At 54.8% G+C, this 23,031-nt stretch overlaps 2 protein-coding genes and 1 long non-coding RNA gene across 18 annotated transcripts in view, besides 8 other annotated features; 2 read left to right on the top strand and 1 right to left on the bottom strand.

Moving 5' to 3' along the window:
* BAHD1 (bromo adjacent homology domain containing 1) overlaps positions 1–15,924 on the top strand; it is a 30,785-nt gene extending 14,861 nt beyond the window's left edge. For 7 of the 16 annotated variants that reach the window (XM_047432244.1, XM_011521369.4, XM_047432245.1 and 4 more), the window contains 6 exons: positions 6,139–7,584; positions 9,600–9,982; positions 11,549–11,708; positions 12,159–12,235; positions 13,023–13,123; positions 13,629–15,924. In XM_047432244.1, coding sequence (XP_047288200.1) covers positions 6,153–7,584; positions 9,600–9,982; positions 11,549–11,708; positions 12,159–12,235; positions 13,023–13,123; positions 13,629–13,818 — 2,343 coding nt within the window. In that variant the 5' untranslated portion in view covers positions 6,139–6,152 and the 3' untranslated portion in view covers positions 13,819–15,924. The remainder of the gene's footprint in view (positions 1–6,138; positions 7,585–9,599; positions 9,983–11,548; positions 11,709–12,158; positions 12,236–13,022; positions 13,124–13,628) is intronic. The other 9 variants (NM_001301132.2, XM_047432246.1, XM_011521367.4 and 6 more) reach the window with 4 other exon arrangements.
* Positions 169–518: an enhancer, noted in NCBI's record as "active region_9243". NCBI's record gives its function as "activates an Ori minimal core promoter by ATAC-STARR-seq in GM12878 lymphoblastoid cells {active_cell/tissue: GM12878}" and the evidence as "EXISTENCE:reporter gene assay evidence [ECO:0000049][PMID:35858748]".
* Positions 549–598: an enhancer, noted in NCBI's record as "active region_9244". NCBI's record gives its function as "activates an Ori minimal core promoter by ATAC-STARR-seq in GM12878 lymphoblastoid cells {active_cell/tissue: GM12878}" and the evidence as "EXISTENCE:reporter gene assay evidence [ECO:0000049][PMID:35858748]".
* LOC124903473 (uncharacterized) lies at positions 1,135–1,558 on the bottom strand. The gene is made up of 2 exons (XR_007064598.1): positions 1,516–1,558; positions 1,135–1,234 (listed from the first exon to the last, which is right to left on the bottom strand). It is a non-coding gene; the product is annotated as an uncharacterized LOC124903473 (long non-coding RNA).
* Positions 11,398–11,899: an enhancer, noted in NCBI's record as "H3K4me1 hESC enhancer chr15:40755909-40756410 (GRCh37/hg19 assembly coordinates)". NCBI's record gives its function as "activates a minimal SCP1, AML or CMV promoter by ChIP-STARR-seq in primed H9 embryonic stem cells {active_cell/tissue: H9 hESC(primed)}" and the evidence as "EXISTENCE:reporter gene assay evidence [ECO:0000049][PMID:30033119]".
* Positions 11,900–12,399: an enhancer, noted in NCBI's record as "H3K4me1 hESC enhancer chr15:40756411-40756910 (GRCh37/hg19 assembly coordinates)". NCBI's record gives its function as "activates a minimal SCP1, AML or CMV promoter by ChIP-STARR-seq in primed H9 embryonic stem cells {active_cell/tissue: H9 hESC(primed)}" and the evidence as "EXISTENCE:reporter gene assay evidence [ECO:0000049][PMID:30033119]".
* Positions 18,144–18,253: an enhancer, noted in NCBI's record as "active region_9245". NCBI's record gives its function as "activates an Ori minimal core promoter by ATAC-STARR-seq in GM12878 lymphoblastoid cells {active_cell/tissue: GM12878}" and the evidence as "EXISTENCE:reporter gene assay evidence [ECO:0000049][PMID:35858748]".
* Positions 18,544–18,783: a silencer, noted in NCBI's record as "silent region_6335". NCBI's record gives its function as "represses an Ori minimal core promoter by ATAC-STARR-seq in GM12878 lymphoblastoid cells {active_cell/tissue: GM12878}" and the evidence as "EXISTENCE:reporter gene assay evidence [ECO:0000049][PMID:35858748]".
* Positions 18,672–20,846, top strand: CHST14 (carbohydrate sulfotransferase 14). The gene has a single exon (NM_130468.4). It carries the CDS (start codon positions 18,902–18,904, stop codon positions 20,030–20,032), a length of 1,131 nt encoding a protein of 376 aa, NP_569735.1. The 5' UTR covers positions 18,672–18,901; the 3' UTR covers positions 20,033–20,846.
* Positions 18,834–19,083: a silencer, noted in NCBI's record as "silent region_6336". NCBI's record gives its function as "represses an Ori minimal core promoter by ATAC-STARR-seq in GM12878 lymphoblastoid cells {active_cell/tissue: GM12878}" and the evidence as "EXISTENCE:reporter gene assay evidence [ECO:0000049][PMID:35858748]".
* Positions 19,536–20,439: an enhancer, noted in NCBI's record as "H3K27ac-H3K4me1 hESC enhancer chr15:40764047-40764950 (GRCh37/hg19 assembly coordinates)". NCBI's record gives its function as "activates a minimal SCP1, AML or CMV promoter by ChIP-STARR-seq in naive H9 embryonic stem cells {active_cell/tissue: H9 hESC(naive)}" and the evidence as "EXISTENCE:reporter gene assay evidence [ECO:0000049][PMID:30033119]".

Consider the following 23,031-nt stretch of genomic DNA (forward strand, 5'->3'; position numbering starts at 1 on the left):
CTTTGTGCTGTGGAGCTGAGACTTCTGCTCTGCATGGGTGCCTCCACTGAAGCCTCATTCAGGTGGCACAGACAGGCAGGACGCACACCTTCTGACCTCACGTTGTGGGTCTAGCCCTGCCGTTAGCATCTGAGGAACTTGGCCTTTCACTGTAGAGTTGAGTATTTCTCAGAGACACAGAGCTGTTGTTCAGGGTCTGTTGGGATAGTTTCTGCCCCGGCCCTCTTGCTCAGTTGTGGCCCACAACTGAGGGCCACTTCCTGTCCCAGGCAGCCTCTGCTTGTGGGAGTGATCTGGGCTGTGACCTGCCCTTCCAGGCCCTCACCCTTGTTTCCCCAGAGCAGTGCCAGCACCCCGTGCTCCCCTGGGCCTCTGACTCTCCCTTGAACCTTCAGCCCGGCGTGAAGCACCTTGGTTGTGCTCTGCTCGTGCTGGTGGGGTTGCTGTATGGTGCTGCTGCAGCTTGAGGGCCAGAGCAGGGCATCTGTCTGTCCCTTTCTGCTTCTATGGAGATGACTACACCCGGCCCTCTTGCTGAGTTGTAAACTGAACCCCCCACAACTCACCCCACACTGGGTCCTGCAAGGGAAAAGGAGTGTCATCATCATTATCTTTCCTTGGGGTGGGCACTTAGGTGTTTTTAGTGGAATAGTGGCAGAGCAAAGTTCAGGTGCAAGCTTGGGTTTTCAGATTTCTCACTGGGGTAGGAGGAATCTGTCCCGGGCTCCTGCTGTGGGGAATGGCCAGCCAGGGCCAGCTGCCCTCCTCTGTCGGGTTGGAAGGATGGGGGAGGTTGGCCTGCCTGCCTCTGCTTACCACCGCTCCTAAGGAAGACTCTTTTTGGTATATCCATCTTAGATGAGGGATCTGGAGTTTGGAAAAGCTAAATACATTGCTCAGGAGGGACAGAGCATTTAAATCTAGGTCTGACTCAATGCTTTGGTTCTTTCTGCTGTACCAGCTCTTTAAGAGATTCACTACCAGCTGTGTCTTTACCTGGCTTTACCATAAGAATTTCAGCAGCTTCACCTGTTTCTCCATAAAGTAACAGCAACTAACTTTAAGTGAAAAGGAGCCTAGTTTTGTGCTCTTGCCACATTTCTTCTCTGATAGAAGATTCAAGAAATTCAGTGCTCATGACAAGTGTTTTATTCCTTTCATGGATGGGAGGGGTTATTCCAAGAGAGAATGCAGAGGAGGACAATGCTTAACTCAGCTCCAGTTGTGGTTTTAGCTGTAATTGGAAGGAGGTGGCTTCTAATGGGGCAGGGTCCTTCCCAGCCCTCACCCAGATGACCTGATCTACCCTTATCTAAGGCTCCCCTGAATCCCTCCCTCTCATTAAAAATAAACCGGGCTAGGTATGGTGGCTCATGCCTGTAATCCCAGCACTGTGGGAGGCCAAGGTGGAAGGATTACGTGAGCCTAGGAGTTTGAGACCAGCCTGGACAACATAGTGAGGCCCTCTACCCCCGGCCCCCCCCAACCCCCTGCAGCCTGTCTCTACCAAATTACCTGGGCATGGTGTCACGCGCTTATAGTCTCAGTTACTGGGGAGGCTGAGGTGGAAGGATCACTTGAGTCTGGGAGTTCGAGGCTACCATGATCCATGATTGCGCCACTGCACTCCAGCCTGAGCAACAAAGCAAGACCCTGTCTCAGACAAAAACAAAAAACAACAAAAAAGAAAAACCAAAGAAGCCTGAAAAGCAAAATTTAAAGTGTAGTCCTGAAACCCTCAGGATGGTGTGCGGGGTGCAACCCAGAGCTGGGTGGGTAAGGGGAGAGCAGCAACCACAACTGAGGGCCACTTCCTGCCCCAGGCAGCCTCTGCTTGTGGGAGTGATCTGGGCTGTGACCTGCCCTTCCAGGCCCTCACCCTTGTTTCCCCAGAGCAGTGCCAGCACCCCGTGCTCCCCTGGGCCTCTGACTCTCCCTTGAACCTTCAGCCCGGCATGAAGCACCTTGGTTGTGCTCTGCTTGTGCTGGTGGGGTTGCTGTATGGTGCTGCTGCAGCTTGAGGGCCAGAGCAGGGCATCTGTCTGTCCCTTTCTGCTTCTGTGGAGATGACTACACTCAGACCCTACTATGACAGTTTAGCTGGGCCTGACCTCCCCCTCGATTTTGAGATCCTGATGCCCCTGAGGTGAAGGTGGCCTGTTTACTGTCTTTAGAGTACACTTCTGAGGATTTGGGATTCAACCTGTGGTTCTCTGGGTCTTTGGCCTGGATGTCCACCAGCCAGCCACTATCCTTCCTGGCAGCTGTGTCAGAGCTGGAGACAATCAGACTGGTTTTCTCCAGTGAGAGCTTTCTTGACATCTTTTAGTGTCAGGAAAGTGTCCTGGGAATCCCTCCTAGAGACCTTCCCAAGAGGGCATGGACCACCCGTGTCTGGGAGGACAGAGCTTCCCAGAGAGGAGGGGATAGTGCTGAGAGAACCCAGCGCACCTTGTGCCCTAGCAGTGGTTGAAAGTTTCTGGGTGGATAGTGCGTAATTGGGAGGGGCAGCAGGAGGATTGGTGGGGCTGGGAGAGGGGAACCAAGCCTACCACTTTGCTGGGATCCCCTCTCCCCAACCAGCCCTGTAGCTGGGCCATCCCTTGTGGTTTGGAGGGGCCCTGGCAGGCTTGTAGCCCCTCCACCCAGCCCCACCCCAGGGAAAAAGTTGCAGCCGAGCTTCTTGTTTCTTCATCTGACTTCAAAGCATGACTCACACATGCTCTCCCCAGAATGGAGTGCAGCGAGAGGCAGGCAGCAGAGACCCCAGCCTCTCCTTAAGATGCCGAGTGGCTGGACTTTGCACCACAGGAAAGCTAGGAGCTATTTTGCGACGTGCTTTTGATGGCCTTGGGTGTTTTTAGCGAGTGACAGGGGATTTGGCAGATTTTAGGGAGTCTAGCAGGAGGCTGTTCTGCTGGATTTGGAAATGTGACTCGCACCCTGTGATTCAGACGCTTCCTGGGATCGTCAGCACCCTACCCCCCAGGGGAGTAGTGGGTGTCCCTGAGGGACTGGAAAGCTGAATGAGAGGTTAAAGAGCAAGATTAGTCCACAGGGAACAGATTCTCAAAGGTTCTGGGCTCAGACTCCTGAAAGTGGAAGCTGTGTAGTCAAGGCACTGACTCCCTTCCCACCTCTCTCTGCTTGGGACTTCTGTGTGTTGAGAGGGGAAGACTGAGTGGGGACAACTATCCAAAGATCTGAGGACCATCTGCCCATGCAGCCAGTCTCCCAGCCAGCTGGAGGTCAGGGGTGGCCAATCATCCCCCTGCTAAGAACGCTTCCAGTAGCCAGGCCTGACAGCACCTCCCTGTGCTGTCTTTCCCAGCCGCCTTCTCCTTACTCTGTACTGTGTCCTTATCCTCAAAGACGACAAGCCCAGGTGATCTCCACCTTGGCTCCCAGCCGTTCCCAGGCCTAGCCCCTCTGGTAACTTGGGGCCTGTTGAGGGGCTTTGGCCCGTGCTCAAATGCATGGTCTGTTCACTTATCCATCATCTCCAGGCCATTTGGGAGTTGGGGAGGGCTGGACCTGGGCTCCCTAGGAGATACTGATGTGCTTCTGCTGCTTCTCGTTGCATGCTCCTCCACCTCCAGCACAGGGGTGCCTGGATATGAGAGAAGGGCCTGTGGGTTATAAGAAATGGGATGATGTTGTTGTTGTTGTTGTTGTTTTGAGATGGAGTCTCACTCTGTTGCCCAGGCTGGAGTGCAGTGGCACGATCTTGGCTCACTGCAACCTCCACCTCCTGGGTTCAAGTGATTCTCCTGCTTCAGCCTCCCAAGTAGCTGGGACTACGGGCTCATGCCAGCACGCCTGGCTAAATTTTTTTTTTTGTATTTTTATTAGAGACAGGGTTTCACTGTATTAGCCAGGATGGTCTTGATCTCCTGACATCATGATCCATCCGCCTGGGCCTCTCAAAGTGTGGGGATTATGGGCATGAGCCACCACGCCCGGCATTGCCAATAAGCCTGCTGAGCAGACAGGGACGGGTGGTCACCCTGATTAGAAGCAGGAAAGAGACTTACGGAGCCTAGCAGATGCCTGGGATTTTTTAGGAGCTCTCCACCTGTGCTTCAGGAATGAATGGGTTTGCCTTCTGTGACTCTGTCTTGCCCGGGGCCTGGTCTCTGAGCAGTGGCAAGTCCCCGCACGTGGCCAGAGCAAAGCCTGGCACGCTGCCTCTCCTTTCCAGTTTTCCGTGTCCTTTCTCAGGGGTGAAGGTTGCCCACACCACCCTCAGCCTGGTTTTCTGAGCACTCTTTCTCAATTAATGCAGCATATCTCTGGAGAGGAGGTGTCCAGTGACCCCACCCACTGGCCCAAGGCCATGGGAGCTAACAGGGAAAGATTCAGGAATCCCTGGGAGCCCTCAGGCTTGAGACTTTCAGGGTTAAATCCTGGCACAGCAGGGACTGCTCTCAGTTCCTCTGTAGAATGAGTGTGAACAGCAATAGCAGTGGGGAAATTAAGCTGAAAAACCTGGGCCCGCTGGGTGGGGATGGGTTGCAGGAGTACCTGGTGAGGGACAGAACTTGTCTGGCACCTTACTTGCCAGCCCCTGTGCTTTGGGTTGAATGGTAGGAAGTGAACAGCTCCGTAGTCTCTGACCACCGCCCTCTGCAGTTCTTCATTGTCTTGGCCATGCCAGCTTCCAGTGCACAGCCAGCTCTGGCCTCTCACTCAGAACTGGGGCCCAGGCTGCCGCAGGTGTATGTTGGAGTGTTTTGCCAAGCAAAGTTAGGGGATGATGCCTGGTCATATGCATTTTCTGTCAGGGGCTCTGGGCTTCCCCCACCTCCTTGCATCCTGCCCCTGCCTACAAAGAGGGAGAACCGAGCACGACTAACAAGGCAGCTCATTTGTCTCCTGTGTTAGTGCTTCTCTTTGATACTTTCTTTTCCCAACTGTTTGTGGCCTTCAGGGGTTTAAAGCTGTATGGCAGGTCTACGCACCGTCCCTGGGTTTTCTCTACCCCCAGGAATATGCTGATCCTGGCCTTACTGTTACCCTTGCCCTGGGTACTGGCACCCTTTGGGCTGCTCTTGCCTGGAATTTGAACCAAAGTTCAAATGAGACTTCTCCACCATGGGCCCCTCAAAGCTGAGACCTCTCCACCATGGGCCCCTCAAAGCTGAGACCTCTCCACCATGGGCCCCTCAAAGCCAGGCCTTCACCCTTGATAGAGCTTTTCCAGCTAGACCCAGGTTGTGGCAGTCTTGCTTTATATGCCAGGGGAGGAGTCCTCAGAGACTGAACTTTGCCTTCATGGCCCAGCAGGCAGGGTCCCCATCTCAGCTCTTCACTGTCTGTCTTCTTGTCCTCCTGTGGCCAACCTCAGAAGCCCTGCGTTTGGGGAGGGGATTGTTAATGCCTTGGTTATACTTTTGGAAGAATAGATGGACTCCTGGCCGGGGGCAGTGGCTCACGCCTGTAATCCCAGCACTGTGGGAGGCCGAGGCGGGCAGATCACGAGGTCAGGAGATCGAGACCACCCTGGCTAACACGGTGAAACCCCCTCTCTACTAAAAATACAAAAGAAAATTTAGCGGGGCGTGGTGGCGGGCACCTGTAGTCCCAGCTACCCGAGAGGCTGAGGCAGGAGAATGGCGTGAACCTGGGAGGCGGAGCTTGCAGTGAGCCAAGATCTCACCAATGCACTCCAGCGAGACTCCGTCTCTCAAAAAAAGAAAAAAAGAAGAAAGAATAAATGGACTTCTACCACCCAGTCCCCCATCTTGGGAGGCTCTGTCTTCAGAGCCTCTTCCTATCCTGTGATGAATATCTAGTGAGAGAAGGACAGGGGGAGAGAACAAAGAGCTTTGCCACCAGCTCCTCCTATCCCCTGTCCCTGGGGTCTGCCTTGCTCCCTAGGCTCTTCAGGGGCTTAGTTCAGAGATACCCTAGGCTAAAAGGAAAGAGGAGGAACCAGTCCTTGCACAGCTGCTGGTAGCTTGATTCCACTGCCCCTTCACACTCTGGAAAGGGAGTCCCAGGAAAATCCATACTGGAGACAGGGTAGTTGTAGGCCAGGATCACTGCACCTGGGGCTGGGTAGGCTGCAGTGGGAGAGAAAGCAGGCAGGAGCAGGCCAGAGAGGGCTTCTCTCATTGCCCACCTTCTGTCCTGCAGGTTGGAAGTACTCCATGACACACACTCGGAGAAAGTCCCTTCCCATGCTGAGTTCGGGCCTCACTGGCCGCCGAGAGCCCCTGCAGATGGAAGACAGCAACATGGAGCAGGGGGTTGAGGGTGTGGAGCCAGGCATGCCCGAGAGCCCAGGTCACCTCACAGGGCGCCGCAAGAATTACCCACTTCGTAAGCGCCCATTGGTTCCTGAGAAGCCCAAGGCCTGCAAAGTGCTGCTGACTCGCCTGGAGAATGTGGCCGGTCCCCGGAGTGCAGATGAGGCTGATGAGCTACCGCCTGACCTGCCCAAGCCCCCCAGCCCGGCCCCATCCAGTGAAGACCCTGGCCTTGCCCAGCCCCGCAAGCGGCGCCTGGCCTCCCTCAATGCTGAAGCTCTCAATAACCTGCTGCTGGAGCGAGAGGACACCAGCAGCCTGGCAGGCACCCGCCGCAGTCGAGCAGGGGATCCCCACCGCAGCCGTGACCGTGATCGTGCTACTGGGGGCTGGTCCTCCTCCAAGAAGCGGCCCCGGCTGGGGGACCTTGGAGGAGGAAGTCGGGACCTGTCTCCAGAGCCAGCACCCGATGAAGGTCCCCGCCGAGATGGAGACCCAGCTCCCAAGAGACTGGCTAGCCTGAACGCAGCTGCTTTCCTAAAACTGAGCCAGGAGCGGGAGCTACCCCTGCGGCTGCCTCGTGCCCATGCAGAAGTAGATGGGCGCTCCACTGAGCCCCCAGCACCCAAGGCCCCGAGGCCAAAGTGGCCCAAGGTCAATGGCAAGAACTATCCCAAGGCTTGGCAGGGGGCCAGCTCTGGGGAGGCTGCAGGCCCACCTGGCTGGCAAGGCTGCCCTGATGAACCATGGCCATCTGCAACTCCTTGTGGGCCATCCGTCCAGCCATCTCATCAGCCCCTGAGCAAGGCTCTGGAGAGCCCTTTGGGGCTGCGCCCTCACCTGCCCCTGCTGATGGGTGGACAGGCGGCTCTGAAGCCGGAGCCTGGGCGCCCAGGCGAGGAGTCACCTGCCCCTAAGCAGGAACTGCATCAGCCCTCTTTCCCCACACCTCAGCTGTCGCCGCTGCCGATGCCTGGCAACCCCGCCGACTACAATGGCCTGTGTGTTGGGCCTGAGCTCACTGCACTAGGCAGCTTCTACCTGTACTGTGGCCAAGAGGGGCTGCAGTGTGGGGGCTACTCGCCCTGCCCCATGCTTCCTGAGGGCAAGCTGTCCCCAGTGGCTGCACCTCACGAGGAGGGGCTCCTCTTAGCTCCGAGCTCAGTGCCCTCAGGCACCCCTTTCCAGCACCCTCCCTGGGGCTCCTCTCGCTACTGCTCTAGCGAGGACACTGGAGTGAATGGCTACAGCATCTGCGGAGTGTTGCCCCTGTCTGTTACCCACGCTGGCACTACCTGTGGCGGCTGCCCATACAAAATGCCTTTTGCAGCAGGTGAGGCTTCCTGGGCCCAAGATGTACTGGGGAGTCTCGGAGACATGGCATCCCAGGAGGTTGGGCTGTTGATCTGAGCAGGGGTCTCCCTTGGGGTCTGGCTGCTAACTGGAAGGTAGGGGGCTTTCAGAAGTGAGAACTCCCGTAGTCTGTGCCCCAAGCCGAGGAGCATTCCCAAGAACAGGGCCCGTATAGCTCTGGACAGCCTTGCTCTGCCCAGGCTACCTTTGGAGATTCTTGGCCTGGCAGTTAGGTAGCATTGCAGTGGTACAGGCCACAGGAAGGCCTCTCTTCTCTCCTCATTGGGATACCCGTTCTTAGACTCTGAAGAGCAGGTTAGATATTGGAATTAGGACTTTTACCAAATTGTTCTCACGGCCCTTCTACCCTCCTTGAGGAAAGCTAGAATTCCCTAGTTTCTAGAAACCAGTACTCTCTGCATGCTGGCCAAGTTCAGCATTCATGGGAAAGGTGGTAGGTACCAGGCTCAGTAGGTGGTACCTACTGCACAGGGCAGCTTTGCCCTGGCTATAGAGGCATTGAAAGAGAAGTGCCCAGACTGAGCATCACTTTGCTGGGTGTGGATAGAGAGGGTGCACCATGAGAACAGACAAGCAGAGTTCCCTGACATGGATGGAATGCGATCAGGGCCCACAGCTTTGGTGTCTGCCTGCCTGACAAGACCCAGACACCTGAGAGGCCCATGCTCCGGCTGTTGAGACACTCCCAGAATCATTTCTCTTCCCTAAACTGGCAGAGGTATCCTCACCTGCCTCTTCAGGCTCCCTGCCTGCCTCCTGGGTGGAAATGAGACATGCTGGCCAGCAGGTCTGCCCTGCTGCTGGGGAGGTGAGGGCTGGACCTTCCAGATCTCCCTTCCCCTGACATCCTTTCTTGTAGGGGTCTATAAAACAACTTTATAGACCAGTTGGCCCTGGCCAGACTGGTTGTTTCAGGTTGTGGCTTGAGTTAGAGTTCTTATGACATGAGAACAGGCTGCTGCTTGGGGTTTTCCTTCTTTTTTTGTGCCATTCCCCAAGTCTAGACCCTTATCCCCTCTCCCTAATAATAAGGACACCAGTAAACACCATGTACCAGGCACTGTTCTGAGTGCTTTACATATGGGAGGCTGCTTGGCATGTAATTGAGCACAGACTCCGAAGCCAGACTGCCTGGAGTGAAATGTTCTCCCCCACTTTCCTAGCCATGTGACTATGGGCGAGTCAGTAACTGCTCTGTGTCTCAGTTTTCTTAACTATAAAATGGGTGTAATGATACCTATCTCACAGGGTTTTTGTAAGGATGAAATGAGTTAATGTGTTCGTAAGAAAACCAGCCAGTTGCTCTGAGGGGCAGAGTGACTTGCCTGAAGTCACATGGCTAGTAAGTGGCAGAACCCAGGCTGATTCTAGAACCCCTATTCCCAAGCATTATGAAAGCCTTAGAAAATTAATATCAGGGCCAGGCGCGGTGGCTCATGCCTGTAATCCTAGCACTTTGGGAGGCTGAGGCGGGCAGATTGCCTGAGCTCAGTAGGTTGAGACCAGCCTGTCTAACATGGTGAAACCCTATCTCTACTAAACATACAAAAAAATTAGCTGGGTGTGGTGATGGGCACCTGTAATCCCAGCTACTCAGGAGGCTGAGGCAGGAGAAATGCTTGAACCCGAGAGGCGGAGGTTGCAGTGAGCCAAGATAGCACCACTGCACTCTAGCCTGGGCAACAGAGCGAGACTCTGTCTCAAAAAAAAAAAAAGTTCGGAGTTAAAAAGGATGTTCCAACCACCTCTCTTTCAGACTAAAAGGGGAGATGGCCAATCTCCAAGATCAGGAAACACCCCTGTCCCCTTAGAGAGTCACTCTGACAGTCCACCATAAAAAGGCCTCTGATCCCATCGGCCACCTCAGTGGCCTTTGGTTGCACAGTTAGAATTAAGACAGGAGCAGGCTCTGAAAGCAGATGGGTGATGGGGGTCACTGCTTGTCCTGTCCTGACCACTCTCTCCCTTTCCTAGAAGGCTGCAGATCCCTGGGCCAGTTGGAATTTCCTCTCCCGGAAGCTGGCCACCCAGCCTCACCCGCCCACCCACTCCTGGGGTGCCCTGTACCCAGTGTGCCACCTGCAGCAGAGCCCGTCCCCCATCTTCAGACACCCACCTCGGAGCCCCAGACAGTAGCCCGTGCGTGCCCTCAGAGCGCCAAACCTCCCAGCGGTTCTAAGTCAGGTCTGCGCACAGGCTCCAGCTGCAGGCACACTGCAAGGAGCAAGGCTGCCCGCAGGCCTAGCCACCCCAAGCAGCCACGTGTCCAGCGCCCACGCCCTCGCCGCCGCCGTCGCCGCCGCACTAATGGCTGGGTACCTGTTGGGGCTGCGTGTGAGAAGGCTGTGTATGTCTTGGTAAGTGCTAGCTCTTAGCTGATGACGAGAGGGAGGGAGGCAGTGGGGACACATGACCTGCAGTGAGGTAGGTGCTAGAAGCACCTGGTTCTAGCTACTCTGAGAGCTGACAAGGGACTCCAGTTTACTTGTACCCCAGGAACCAGTCATGCTGGCCCACCCAGCTTGCTTCCCTAGCCCCCTACTGATCCTGTACCAGACACCCCAGGGAGGTCAGGAGACACACAGTCATAGCTGGTGGCTGCCATCTCGGTGAGTGTCTTCCCCTCCCCTCCCTGCTCACTTTGTCCCTTACACCCTGGATTGTAAAGTGGAGGACTTTCAATGGAGAACTTTTCTGGATAAGTCTATATAGGGGGCGTTGGAATGGGCAGAGAAAATTAGTGACACAGAGAACATCTCGGATGATGAAAAGAGGCCAAGTGCGGTGGCTCACATCTGTAATCCCAGTACTTTAGGTGGTGGAAGTGGTAAGATCGCATGAGGCCAGGAGTTCAAGACGAGCCTGAGCAATATAGACCTCATCTCTACAAAGTAAAAACATTAGTTAGCCAGGCATGGTGGTGTGCACCAGGAGGCTGAAGTGGGAGGATTGCTTAGGTCCAGGAGTTCAAGGCTGCAGTGAGCTGATTGCACCACTGCACTCCAGTCTGGGTGACAGAGAGACCCTGGCTTTTAAAATTAATTAATTAAAAACAAAAAGAATATTAACTAAAATTTATTGAGGCTGGGCAAGGTGGCTCATGCATATAATCCCAGAGCTTTCAGAGGCTGATGCTAGAGGATTGTTTGAGCTCAGGAGTTCAAGACCAACCTGGTCGACATAGCAAGATCCTGTCTACAGAAAAAAAATTTTTTTAATTAGCCAGGCATGGTAGCATGCATCTGTAGTCCCAGCTACTTGAGAGTCTGAGGCAGGAGGATCACTTGAGTCCAGGAGGTTGAGGCTGCAGTGAACTATGGTTGCACCACTGCATTCCAGCCTGGGTGACAGAGTGAGACCCTGTCTCTAAAAATAAATAAATACATAAATACATAAAATTTATTGAGCACTTCTTAGATGCCAGAACTGAGCTAAGCATTTTGTAAGTATTATGCCCTTTAATCCTCACCACTACCCTATGTGGTATATATCCCATCTTCCTATAATTAATCCCATTTTACAGATGTGGAAGCTGAGGCTTAGCAATACTTTAAATAATTTGTCAAAGGCTGTGCCCCTTATAACAGTGGTTTAAGGGTTCAGACCGAGACTTGTTCCATTAGGAAGCATGAGCACTTACCCAGCACTGGGGGTCTTGGAGTGAGAGTCAGCTGTCGGGTATGGTGGTCAGAGCTCAGCCCCAGAAGCTTCAGGCCACTTTTCCACCCCTATTCCCTTTTCTCATCCTTTCTCCAACCATGAGAATTCCCCAGCCCCATCCAAAAAAGGATAGTGGTTTGACAAAACCAAGGTAGTGGTTTGACTATCTTGAGGAAATCGTGGAAAGGATGTCATTCCCTCTCTCTGTCCTTACTCTGAGTGTGGCTCTGCAAGCCTATTTGTGTCATTGGTTTGTTGCCTAGGATGAGCCGGAGCCAGCCATCCGAAAGAGCTACCAGGCGGTAGAGCGGCATGGGGAGACAATCCGAGTCCGGGACACCGTCCTTCTCAAATCAGGCCCACGAAAGACCTCCACACCTTATGTGGCCAAGATCTCTGCCCTCTGGGAGAACCCCGAGTCAGGTACCTCTCCCTCTGGCTGGGGACCCAAGGGGCAGCTGCCTTCAGCAGAACTGTAGTCCCCAGATTGGCCCCTGCCTGGAGTTTGACCTGGCGTGAGTCTCCCCGTGTTCCTGGCACAGAGTCTGCCTTCCACTCGGCTGGGGTCTCTCTGCTGCCGAGGGCTGTGGGTGACCTTGTGGCTTGGGTTGGATCAGCTCATTAACCTTTCCAGCCAGCAGAGCCTGGGCACCTGTCCCCCCACCTCACCTGTCAGTGCCTTCTCCCCCTTCTCCCTCCATGCCTAACAGCATTCCAGGCCTCTGAATGCTTGGCCTGGGGCAGGGGACATGGGTTGCCGGAGCCTGCAGGATTGAGGTTGGATGAACCTCCAGGGCAGCCAGCCAGCCTCTCTGCCTGTCTAAGTAACTCAGGTTGCCAGTTCAAGCCATAACCACTGTGTTGTCCTTCCAGGAGAGCTGATGATGAGCCTCCTGTGGTATTACAGACCTGAGCACTTACAGGGAGGCCGCAGTCCCAGCATGCACGAGGTGAGCTGCCTGGCAGATGGGTCAGGGAGGGCAGGAGAGACAGAGGGAAAGGTTATGGCACTAAGACGTGGTAGGGGGAGGGCAGCCATGGGCTGTAGTCAAATCCCTGCGCTTGTCACTTTGGACTCCAGAGAACCTGGGAAAGGGCCCAGGATTTATTCTCTTTTCCCAACACTGCCCCAATTCATGTTTCAAAGGGAATAATAACCTTTGTCTTAAAAAGAGGAACAGAAAGGGAACCCTTGAGGTAGCAGGTGCCAATGGGAGCAAGTGGATGTGTTCCCCTGGAAACAGGAAAGGTGAGGTGGAGCTGCATACCTGGTCACTTTTGGTATTTTCTGTAGTAGGGGAGGGGAGGGGAGGAAAGACTCCTCCTAACACCCCATAGGCTCTCCACCAAGCTGTGTGCTAAAAGAGGTGACTGCCATCTGTGTGTGCCCTGGGCTCACCTTTTATTTCACTTTCCCTTGCAGGGACTTTCCATCTAACTGGAAAGATGAAGAACATTTCCCCTCTCCTACGCTAGGCAGGGCTGGGGTTTGGGAGGTCAGTGACAATCAGGGGCTAGAGCAGATACCTGGCTATTCTGGAGAAGGGGGGGACCTAGAAGGGACTCAGGAGGAATGCCTGGAGGCAGTAGGTGAGGCATACTTAGGCTGAATTTCCAGGGAAGCTTGCTGGAGTCATCTCAGGTCAGCAGGCCCAGCAGAGGGGTTAATGTCTGCCTTGCTCTGGGAATGAGGTGCTTTCCAGCCCTGGTAACAACCTCCACCTGTCTCCCTTTGAGCCCTTGCAGAATGAAGTGTTTGCATCGCGACATCAGGACCAGAACAGTGTGGCCTGCATTGAGGAGAAGTGCTATGTGCTGACTTTTGCCGAGTACTGCAGGTAGGTGGTTCCCTGCACCCTCTGGCTGGCCTCTTCCCTCAGGCTCCCCAGGCATATTTGGGGCTGCTTGGAATTCCCCGAGAGGATCTCATTCTGCTCTCTACCTGATCTTACTCACTGAGCCTAATCTCCCAGAACTTACTTCCCTATTGCTTGCCTCTACCATCTGATATTTTTTGGAAGAAAGAAGAAAAATTGTGTTGCCACACTGAGGTAGAATGGTTGGAGCAGAGTTGGGGGGTAACATTACTGCTCTTGGAAAAAATTTAGGCGAATTGGCAGGCAAATGGAGAGAGGCCCTGGCAAGTGTGGTTCTCCAGTGACAGAGAAGATAGCCTGGTGGTTGGCAGAGCAGACATCATCCCTGGGATGGGTGGAGACAGTACCACCCCTTGGGGAGCTAGGATAGCCTAGCTCTCTGGGTCGGGTAGGGTAGGGTAGGGAAGGAATTGGTCTTCCTGCAAAAGTGGCTGGAGTAAAGACAGTGAATGGTATCTCTCTACAGGTTCTGTGCCATGGCCAAGCGCCGAGGTGAAGGCCTCCCCAGCCGAAAGACAGCACTGGTTCCCCCCTCTGCAGACTATTCCACCCCACCCCACCGCACAGTGCCAGAGGACACGGACCCTGAGCTGGTGTTCCTTTGCCGCCATGTCTATGACTTCCGCCACGGGCGCATCCTTAAGAACCCCCAGTAGCCTCCTCATGCCCATGCTGGGGCTACCCATGGGCAAGTGGGGCTCGGGGTAGGGGGCACTGCTTGAAGCACAGCACTTGGTTAGGGGGCCACAGAGGCCTAAGTTTGCTGGCCTGTGGTTTTCTTGGGGGGGAGGGCAGGGGCCCCTGTGGGTTCTGGGCTCCAGGGGAGGGAGCTGGGGAGGCCAGGGTATAAGAAAAGCATCAGAACTCTCAGCTTGGCCCAAGGTACCTTCTGTGGTTCCCCTGGGTGGAGATTTCCGAAAAGTAGTCTTCTCTGAGGCTGGGCCAAGCCTGAGGGAAATGGGGCCCTAGGAGGGTGGGGGCGGGAAGGAGGGGCAAGGTCTTTCAGGAACCAGACCCAACAGGCCCTTCTGTAGCCTCCCCCTTGCCCTCAAAGGGGGAGTGGGGGCCAGCTTTACCTCACCCACTGTGACCCGCCGCTTCCCCTTCAGCCTGGGACCAGGCTTTCCTAGATCCCAGCACAGCTCTGAGCTTGTTCCTTTGAGGCATAGAGAGCCAGAGTCTGGCTTCCAGAGCATTGACTTCCTCTTCCTAGACTTGAGGCCTTTTCTCTGGCTTTCCTCCTTTGCCCTGCAGTAGCAACTGGTGCTGGGACAAGTTGACCCACCTCTCACAGTCATGGGTGTGGCCCACTTGTGGGAGTCTCCTGTCCACCTCCCAGAGACGGCCACCCAGCGGGTCTGGCTTCCCAGAAAGTTAACTGATGATTGTGGGGTTTGTCATATCTGGGAGGGAAGATGGGTGCTGGGAGAGGGTTGGGGGCAGGGGGCAAGGAAAATTGCTACCTGATTTGTTGAAGATTTTTCCTCTTGCCTTACACATGGAGGTTCCAGGAAACCTCTTGCAGAACTTCACACGTGATTCTTCAAGCCACACCCACCTGAAATCAAACCAAAGGAGTGCTGTGGCTCCCCTTGCCCTGCCACCCTTTCCCTAGTCTTTTGTAGATTGCACTAATTTACATCCTAGCAAGAATCAACACTGTATCAGTCCACGGACCTGCTGAGCTGCAGCCACTTGCTCTAGGAGCTAAGGACTTGCATTTTCAGTTTGTTCCTGTTGCCCAGAGGCCCTGTTCTCACCTCATGCTGCTCCCCAGAGTAGACTAACAGGCTCAGTCCCCTGTTGTCCTTGTGGAGACTAGGCCTTGGCCCTGGCCCTGAGACTCTGTGAGGGGGCTGGAGCAGCCTGGTTATTTCCTATCTGTACCAAAGAGGAGTATGGTGGGAGAGGGAGTGGAGTGCAGTGTGGCTTGGGCCTGGTGCTGGGAACCTGCTAGCTGAGCACTTCCACAAGGGCATACCCCTGGGGGCAGGGGCTGGGGCTGAGAACTGCAGCCCTGGGTCTTCCCTTAGGGAGGAAGGGCAGATGAACCCAGCAGGCTTAGGAGGTGGCACTGGGTGAGGACAGCTGGGCAGGGGCTGCAGAGGGAGGTGGAAATGAACCCTGAGGGCTCCCCCAACTTGCCATGCCCTGTCCCTTAGTAGATGAGTTGCTCCTGATTGGTCATTGGGTTTGGGTGAGGCCTGGAGGCTTCAGAGGTGAATTTATGCTTGGGAAGCCTGATCCCAAACCTGAAGGGAAGGGACTTGGATCTCCTTATATTGAATAAGCTGTTTGGAGGAAGGTGTCTGTCTGGGAGGATGGGGCAGTAAATGAGGTTGGCAGAGTGGCAGTGGGGGCTCTGCAGAGCCAGCCTTGGAGCCTGCTCATTCTGGGCCCTTGCTGCCAAGGAGCCCAGCCTCACCTAGCAGGAAAGGAGATGAAGGCCCTCCTCCCAGGAGGTAGGGTCTTGGCTGCCCCGAACTTAAATGCTTTTGAAATCTCTTAGATGTGGAAATATTTTTTCGAACCTGAAAATGCAGCTGGTAGAATTTCAATGGAAGCATAATCCATGTAAAATATATTTTAGTTGATATTTTGTAAAATGCACTTTTTGTGTGTGTTGATCCTGGTTTCCCAGATCTGTATTTCAGTGTTTACAAGGGAGGAAGGACCTTTCCTCACCTCCCTTTTGACAGAGATTAGAAGTACTTCTTTAAGAAAAAAATAAATTTGAGAAATTGTATTGATTTAGAAAAGGATCGTTTCCTGTGTGTCCTGTCATCTTTTGGTGTGTGGGTGTGGAGAGACCCACTATTCTTATTTCAGAGGTCCCTCTTAACCCCTGTGGCATGGATGCTCACCAAGGCCAATGAGCAAAGAGGGCAGGGAAGCAGAGGGAAAAGAGAGTGAGGGAAGGAGACAGAGGGACTGGGAACTTGGAGTTGACTTCTTGATTTCATGGTGGCCACAGCTGCCTGCTTAGGTCTGTGTGAAATACTTCAGTTGCCAGCCCTCACCTGACCAGTGACCTGGAAATTGGTCCCCAAGTAGGTACATGGCAAAGATACCTTCTTATCACTGGCCTCATGCAGTGGCTCCTGCCTGTAATCCCAGTGCTTTGGGAGGCAGAGGCAGGAGGGTTACTTGAGCCTAGGAGTTTAAGACCAGCCTAGGCAACATAGACCATGTCTCTCGAAAAATTTAAAAATTAGCCCGGCATGTCAGTGCATGCCTATAGTCTCAGTCAGGAGGCTAAGGTAGGAGGATTGCTTGATCCCAAGAGCACGAGGCTGCAGTGAGCCGTGATCATACCACTGCAGCCTGGGTGACAGAGTGAGATCCTGTCTCAGAAAAGAAAAAAAAAGCATCCCTCCTCATCACCTTGGGTAACTGGCCAGCACTGTCCTAGGGCCTCAGTGTCTTGCAGCTGGTGCTTCTTGCTTGCTGAGGAAGGCCACATCATGGGGCCAAGGGTCTGCGGCCAGCTGACCCCTGCTTCAGCCCAGCCCTGGTCCCAGCCTGGAAGCCTCAGTGTTGACCATGTTCCAGGTGGGGCAGCTCTAAGGCCATAGAGGTTCCTGGGAGCCACAGCACCCCCCCGCCCCGCCTCCACTTCTGCATTTTGCTAAGGCATGGTGCATGTGGGCAGGAACATTTTTTCAGAATTTATTGGTGGCACAGACACCACCATGGATTTTTCTAGCTCTGCCTTCAGTGTGGTGTCCACAAGACTCCCTTGAGGCGAGTGGTAGCTTGTCCTTATCTTACAGACAAGAAATTGGTATGGAGATAAGTACCAGGCCCAAGGACTCCCCCTGCCTCACCCTGACTGCTAACACAGAAAACTACCCTGTAACACAGAAGGGAGCACATGTGGCCACATTATCAAAAGATTTTTAAAGGTCTAAGGCCTTTTTTTCCTCTCCTGGTTTAAAGGACATACTTACTGGAAAATATGATTTTAATAGAAAATCCTATCACCAGAAATGTATACCTTTAGGATTATTGGAAGCAAGGAGCAGTGTAGACAAGGCAGAACCTTCACGCAAACTTCTGGTGCAGCAAATGGACAGGTGGTAGCCTGCAGATGCACTGGGGCAATCAGATGTGGAGAGCCTGCCCTGGAGAGCTGGAAGGCTGCAAGGCTTTACCGTTCCTTCCCCTGGCTCATCTGTGTGCTTTTCCTGTTGCTGGGATTGTGGGGTCATCAGTGAGCCCTCTAGTATCACCTCATCCCTCAAGTCCCCTCACCCTTCTGAATTCATCTGATCACTGGTAGCTCCATTCTCCCACTGGTATCTTCTATTTTCCATCACCTGCTCTGTACAGTCCGCCCTCGAGTCAGCTGCTTCCTCCCTTCTAGCCATTCCATGATATGCTCCTTTAATCTCTGAAGGGCCGTGATTAGAAATTTAGGTTTTAGACTCAGAACCACCCATACTGAGTCACATCTTCCCTGAGCCTCTGTTACTTCAGCTGTACAAAGGGAATGTCCACACTAGCTCCCTGCCAGGGTGGCTGTAACAACTAAAGGAGATAATGAATATAAAACACTTAGTGGGCGCTGTCCTCAGTACACTTGGGCTCTAATCATATTCCTCTGCTGCTTCAGAGGCTTGCTGGCTCTCTGCAGGCAGCAAGCACATAGCTGGACCAAGTCTGGCTACTGAGCCAGGTTCCCAGTGGGAAATGGTGGTTGCTGACATCCAAAGCACTTCGGGTCTGCTGTCCGCCCAAGTGACCAGCCTGGTGCCATGGAGCACACATCTAGCTCCAGGCAAGGAGACTACGTGCTGTTTCCCTGCTGTTTTGTGCCCCCAGCTCCTCACCCTTCCAAATGTGTGTTGGCCACACCAGCAGCTGATGGACCAATGTGTCAGACCCTCCCCAGAGTGCCCAGTTATCCCACTGCCTCATGAGGAGAAGGCAGAGGAGGGGAGACTCCATTTCCAGACATTTCAGCATTACCCAGTGGACAAGCACTGTAGTCAGTCCCCAGGTATTGCTAAACACAAGGGTCACCATGGAGACTGGTCAGTGTCTGACAGTTCTGCTTCTCCTTCCTGGAGTGGCCACGACCTGCAGGACGGAGGGAGTTAAGGGTGGCAAGGGGGAGCACACCGAGGGCTCCGCTTCCAGCTGGAAAGACCAGCCTCCGGCACGTCTGGACTCGGAGAGAGCGCTGCCCGCCTCCCTGCCTCCAGACCCGTTGCTGGAGGAAGGGCTAGGACAGGCCTGAGTTTGTGGCGAATCCCCCTTGTCCACTTCCCTGAGGACACACGCTGCAGGAGAGCAGCCTCGAGTCTTTTCTGCCTTCGAGGTCTCAGGAGCTTTTGTCCCCAAGCCCAGAGGACAGGGGTGGCCCTGACTCAGGCGCCCTCTTCCGGGTAGGGGTCCGCGTGCGCCCTCCCAAGCCCGCGCCCCGCAGGGGCGCCCGCCCCTCTCCCCGCCCCCGGCGTGGGCCCGCCCCCGCGCCTGTGTCACTGCGAGGCCGGGGGTGGAGAGCGGCCGGGCGGGACATCCGGCCCGGGTCCCTCGCCGCGCCCGCCGCCCGCCGCCCGCTTCGGCGCCGCAGCCCGGGAGCCGGCCACCCCTACACGCGCCAGGGCTGTCCCCTGCCCTCCCCTCCCCAACTACCCCCGGTCCCAGACCCTCCTCCCGCCCCCAGCCCGAGCCCGCCTTCCAGGCCGCCCTCGGATCGGCCGGGCCCGCGCAGGCCCCCACCCCTTGAGCACCATGTTCCCCCGCCCGCTGACCCCGCTGGCGGCCCCAAATGGCGCCGAGCCCCTGGGCCGGGCGCTGAGGCGGGCCCCTCTGGGCAGGGCCCGGGCGGGGCTGGGTGGGCCGCCCCTGCTGCTGCCGTCCATGCTGATGTTTGCGGTGATCGTGGCCTCCAGCGGGCTGCTGCTCATGATCGAGCGGGGCATCCTGGCCGAGATGAAGCCCCTGCCCCTGCACCCGCCCGGCCGCGAGGGCACAGCCTGGCGCGGGAAAGCCCCCAAGCCTGGGGGCCTGTCCCTCAGGGCTGGGGACGCGGACTTGCAAGTGCGGCAGGACGTCCGGAACAGGACCCTGCGGGCGGTGTGCGGACAGCCAGGCATGCCCCGGGACCCCTGGGACTTGCCGGTGGGGCAGCGGCGCACCCTGCTGCGCCACATCCTCGTAAGTGACCGTTACCGCTTCCTCTACTGCTACGTCCCCAAGGTGGCCTGCTCTAACTGGAAGCGGGTGATGAAGGTGCTGGCAGGCGTCCTGGACAGCGTGGACGTCCGCCTCAAGATGGACCACCGCAGTGACCTGGTGTTCCTGGCCGACCTGCGGCCTGAGGAGATTCGCTACCGCCTGCAGCACTACTTTAAGTTCCTGTTTGTGCGGGAGCCCTTGGAACGCCTCCTCTCTGCCTACCGCAACAAGTTTGGCGAGATCCGAGAGTACCAGCAACGCTATGGGGCTGAGATAGTGAGGCGGTACAGGGCTGGAGCGGGGCCCAGCCCTGCAGGCGACGATGTCACATTCCCCGAGTTCCTGAGATACCTGGTGGATGAGGACCCTGAGCGCATGAATGAGCATTGGATGCCCGTGTACCACCTGTGCCAGCCTTGTGCCGTGCACTATGACTTTGTGGGCTCCTATGAGAGGCTGGAGGCTGATGCAAATCAGGTGCTGGAGTGGGTACGGGCACCACCTCACGTCCGATTTCCAGCTCGCCAGGCCTGGTACCGGCCAGCCAGCCCCGAAAGCCTGCATTACCACTTGTGCAGTGCCCCCCGGGCCCTGCTGCAGGATGTGCTGCCTAAGTATATCCTGGACTTCTCCCTCTTTGCCTACCCACTGCCTAATGTCACCAAGGAGGCGTGTCAGCAGTGACCATGGGTGTGGGGCCAGCAGCTGGTGGGGACTGGTTTCAACGCCAGCTTTCTGTGCTTCTGCCTGTCATTCGGAGAAACTCTGGCTCTGGGGCTTGGGGCTTCTCAGGATCCTGGATGGCAGAGACTGCCCTCAGAAGTTCCTTGTCCAGGGTGGGCACCCACAGTGACTCAGAGGACAGGGCTAGGCAGGAGACCTGCTGCTCCTCATTGGGGGGATCTCTTGGGGGGCAGACACCAGTTTGCCAATGAAGCAACACATCTGATCTAAAGACTGGCTCCAGACCCCGGGCTGCCAGGATTATGCAGTCCACTTGGTCTACCTTAATTTAACCTGTGGCCAAACTCAGAGATGGTACCAGCCAGGGGCAAGCATGACCAGAGCCAGGGACCCTGTGGCTCTGATCCCCCATTTATCCACCCCATGTGCCTCAGGACTAGAGTGAGCAATCATACCTTATAAATGACTTTTGTGCCTTTCTGCTCCAGTCTCAAAATTTCCTACACCTGCCAGTTCTTTACATTTTTCCAAGGAAAGGAAAACGGAAGCAGGGTTCTTGCCTGGTAGCTCCAGGACCCAGCTCTGCAGGCACCCAAAGACCCTCTGTGCCCAGCCTCTTCCTTGAGTTCTCGGAACCTCCTCCCTAATTCTCCCTTCCTTCCCCACAAGGCCTTTGAGGTTGTGACTGTGGCTGGTATATCTGGCTGCCATTTTTCTGATGCATTTATTTAAAATTTGTACTTTTTGATAGAACCCTTGTAAGGGCTTTGTTTTCCTAATAGCTGACTTTTTAATAAAGCAGTTTTATATATAAGGCGAGCATTTCTGTGATTTCCCTTGGAGCTCCTGTGGGCCCAGCAGATCTCCTCGATGTCTGTCTTCCCATGTCAGGGGAGGCAGCCTGTAGATAGAGAAAGTAAGGTATAACTTGGTTGGGCTGGTCCAATGGGCCGTTGCCATTCCATGGAGACTTTGGGGGCTTTCTAATAGGCTATACCAGATCACAGACTCAGATCCTGGGATGTCACCAAAGGGCAAGCCCAGTTAGGAATGGCCTCACGTCCAGAGCATACCTACATGTATTATTCCCTAAAAAAGTAGGTGGGTAGGAGATACGGGATCCTCCTCTTATTCAATAAGAGTTGAATGAGAAGTTCCCCCAGAGCATTTTCTTTCTTTCTTTTTTTTTTTTTTTTTTTTGAGATGAAGTCTCGATCTGTCACCCAGGCTGCAGTGCAGTAGCACCATCTTGGCTCACTGCAACCTCTACCTCCTGGGTTCTAGCGATTGCCTCAGCCTCCCAAGTAGCTGGGATGATTACAGGCACGCACCACCACACCTGGCTAATTTTTGTATTTTTAGTAGAGATGGGGTTTCACCATGTTGGCCAGGCTGGTTTTGAACTCCTAACCTCAGGTGATCTGCCCACCTCGGCCCCTCCAAAGTGCTAGGATTACAGGCGTGAGCTACCACGCCTGGCCCCGGACCATTTTCAAATGAAAAAGAAAATTTTTGTGTGAGCAAGGAGATTTTTTTCTGGCACTACAAGGAAGGCAGGCAAGGAGGTTGAGTGAGGGTCAGGCTCTTGTTGACTTAGGTCCAGAGAAAGTTGTGGAAGGAATACAGTTGGAGCAGCAGAGGACAGACTTCAGTATGGCCCATTGCCCCCACTGCTCTCCAGGGATCCCAGGCCCATCAGGAGTTGCTGGGCCCAAGGGAGAGTTGCAAGGCCAGAGCTGGCCCTTCTCTGTTAGCCCTATTTCACACACCCCCAGTGGGAACTGCTGTACTTTATAGAGACCTGAGGCTATGGTAAGAGGGGGGCCCAAGGAAGGGAGGCAGGGAGGGCCCCCTTGCAGGTGCTACCTGTCGCTAGCTTTGCTATTGATTGGACTTTGTAGAGGAAAACTAACACTATTTCCCATATTTGGGATAGGGGGCTTCTATGGGCACTTATGGCTCTCCACTATGACTCATCAGGCCATGTTGCTTCCAGAAGGCCTTACCTGACCCCCTGTCTGGCTCAGATGTCCTTCTTCAGAGTCCCCTTGGCTCTGGGGACTTTACCTAGACCGATCAAGTCCCAGCCCTATTCCTCACCAGATGCCTATCTCTCAGAGCCTCTGTTTTCTCCAATGTGTCGTGGGAATAAAAACACCTATCTCATGTAGATTGCTAGGAGAGGGGAGGATTAATGAAGACAAAATGAATAAAAGGGCCCATCCCCACACCTGGCTCAGTGGATGTTCTTTTGGATGCTGGTTCAACACCTGACCCCTCAGAGGCCTGTGGGGACAAGGGAGAAGCCAGGACACTGTGTCTGGCCCAGCACTGGGTATCACTGCTACCTCTGGGCAGGGCCCCTTTGACCTCTGGGTTTACTTCCTCTACCAATGAGTCAGTCCTTCTCTGAGCTTCCGACCCCTCAGGACCCCCCTACTGCACCCTCTTTTTCCTCCTTGCCTGGGACTTTAAGCGGCTCCAGACCTACAGCAGCTAATCAGTCCCCCTAACTGGGGCCTGCAGCACGAACCGGAGAACCTGGAGAACACTGGGGCCGGCTGCTGTACTCACCCCATTTAATCCTCACAACAGCCGCGTGCCGGTGGGGTCATCCTGTTTTACAGACATGGAAACTGGCACAGAGAGGATAAATAACCTGCCCAAAGTGTCCAACCCAGGTCTGTCTGCCTCCCAAATGGGAGGGAGGAAAGGAGGAAGGCTTATGGAAGGTAGGGGTAGAGAGAAGAAGGAATAGGAAGGTGAAGTTAGAGGAAGGGTAGGTGGGGTTGTAGTCAGGGGTATTTGCAAACATTCTCCTTCCTCAGTTCTTTCGTTCATTTGCAAAGAACCCAGTTGAGCCCAGCTGACTTTTACCAGTTCCTGCCCTGGAGGACCGGGAGACAGATAGTGCTCTTGATGTGGTTAATTTATTGGCTACTCTCCTCCCAGGCAGAAAAGGGGTGCTGGGCCTTAGAGCATCCTGACAGCCACAAGTG

This window comes from Homo sapiens, chromosome 15 (genome assembly GCF_000001405.40).
Source record: "Homo sapiens chromosome 15, GRCh38.p14 Primary Assembly".
Taxonomy (NCBI): Eukaryota; Metazoa; Chordata; class Mammalia; order Primates; family Hominidae; genus Homo; species Homo sapiens.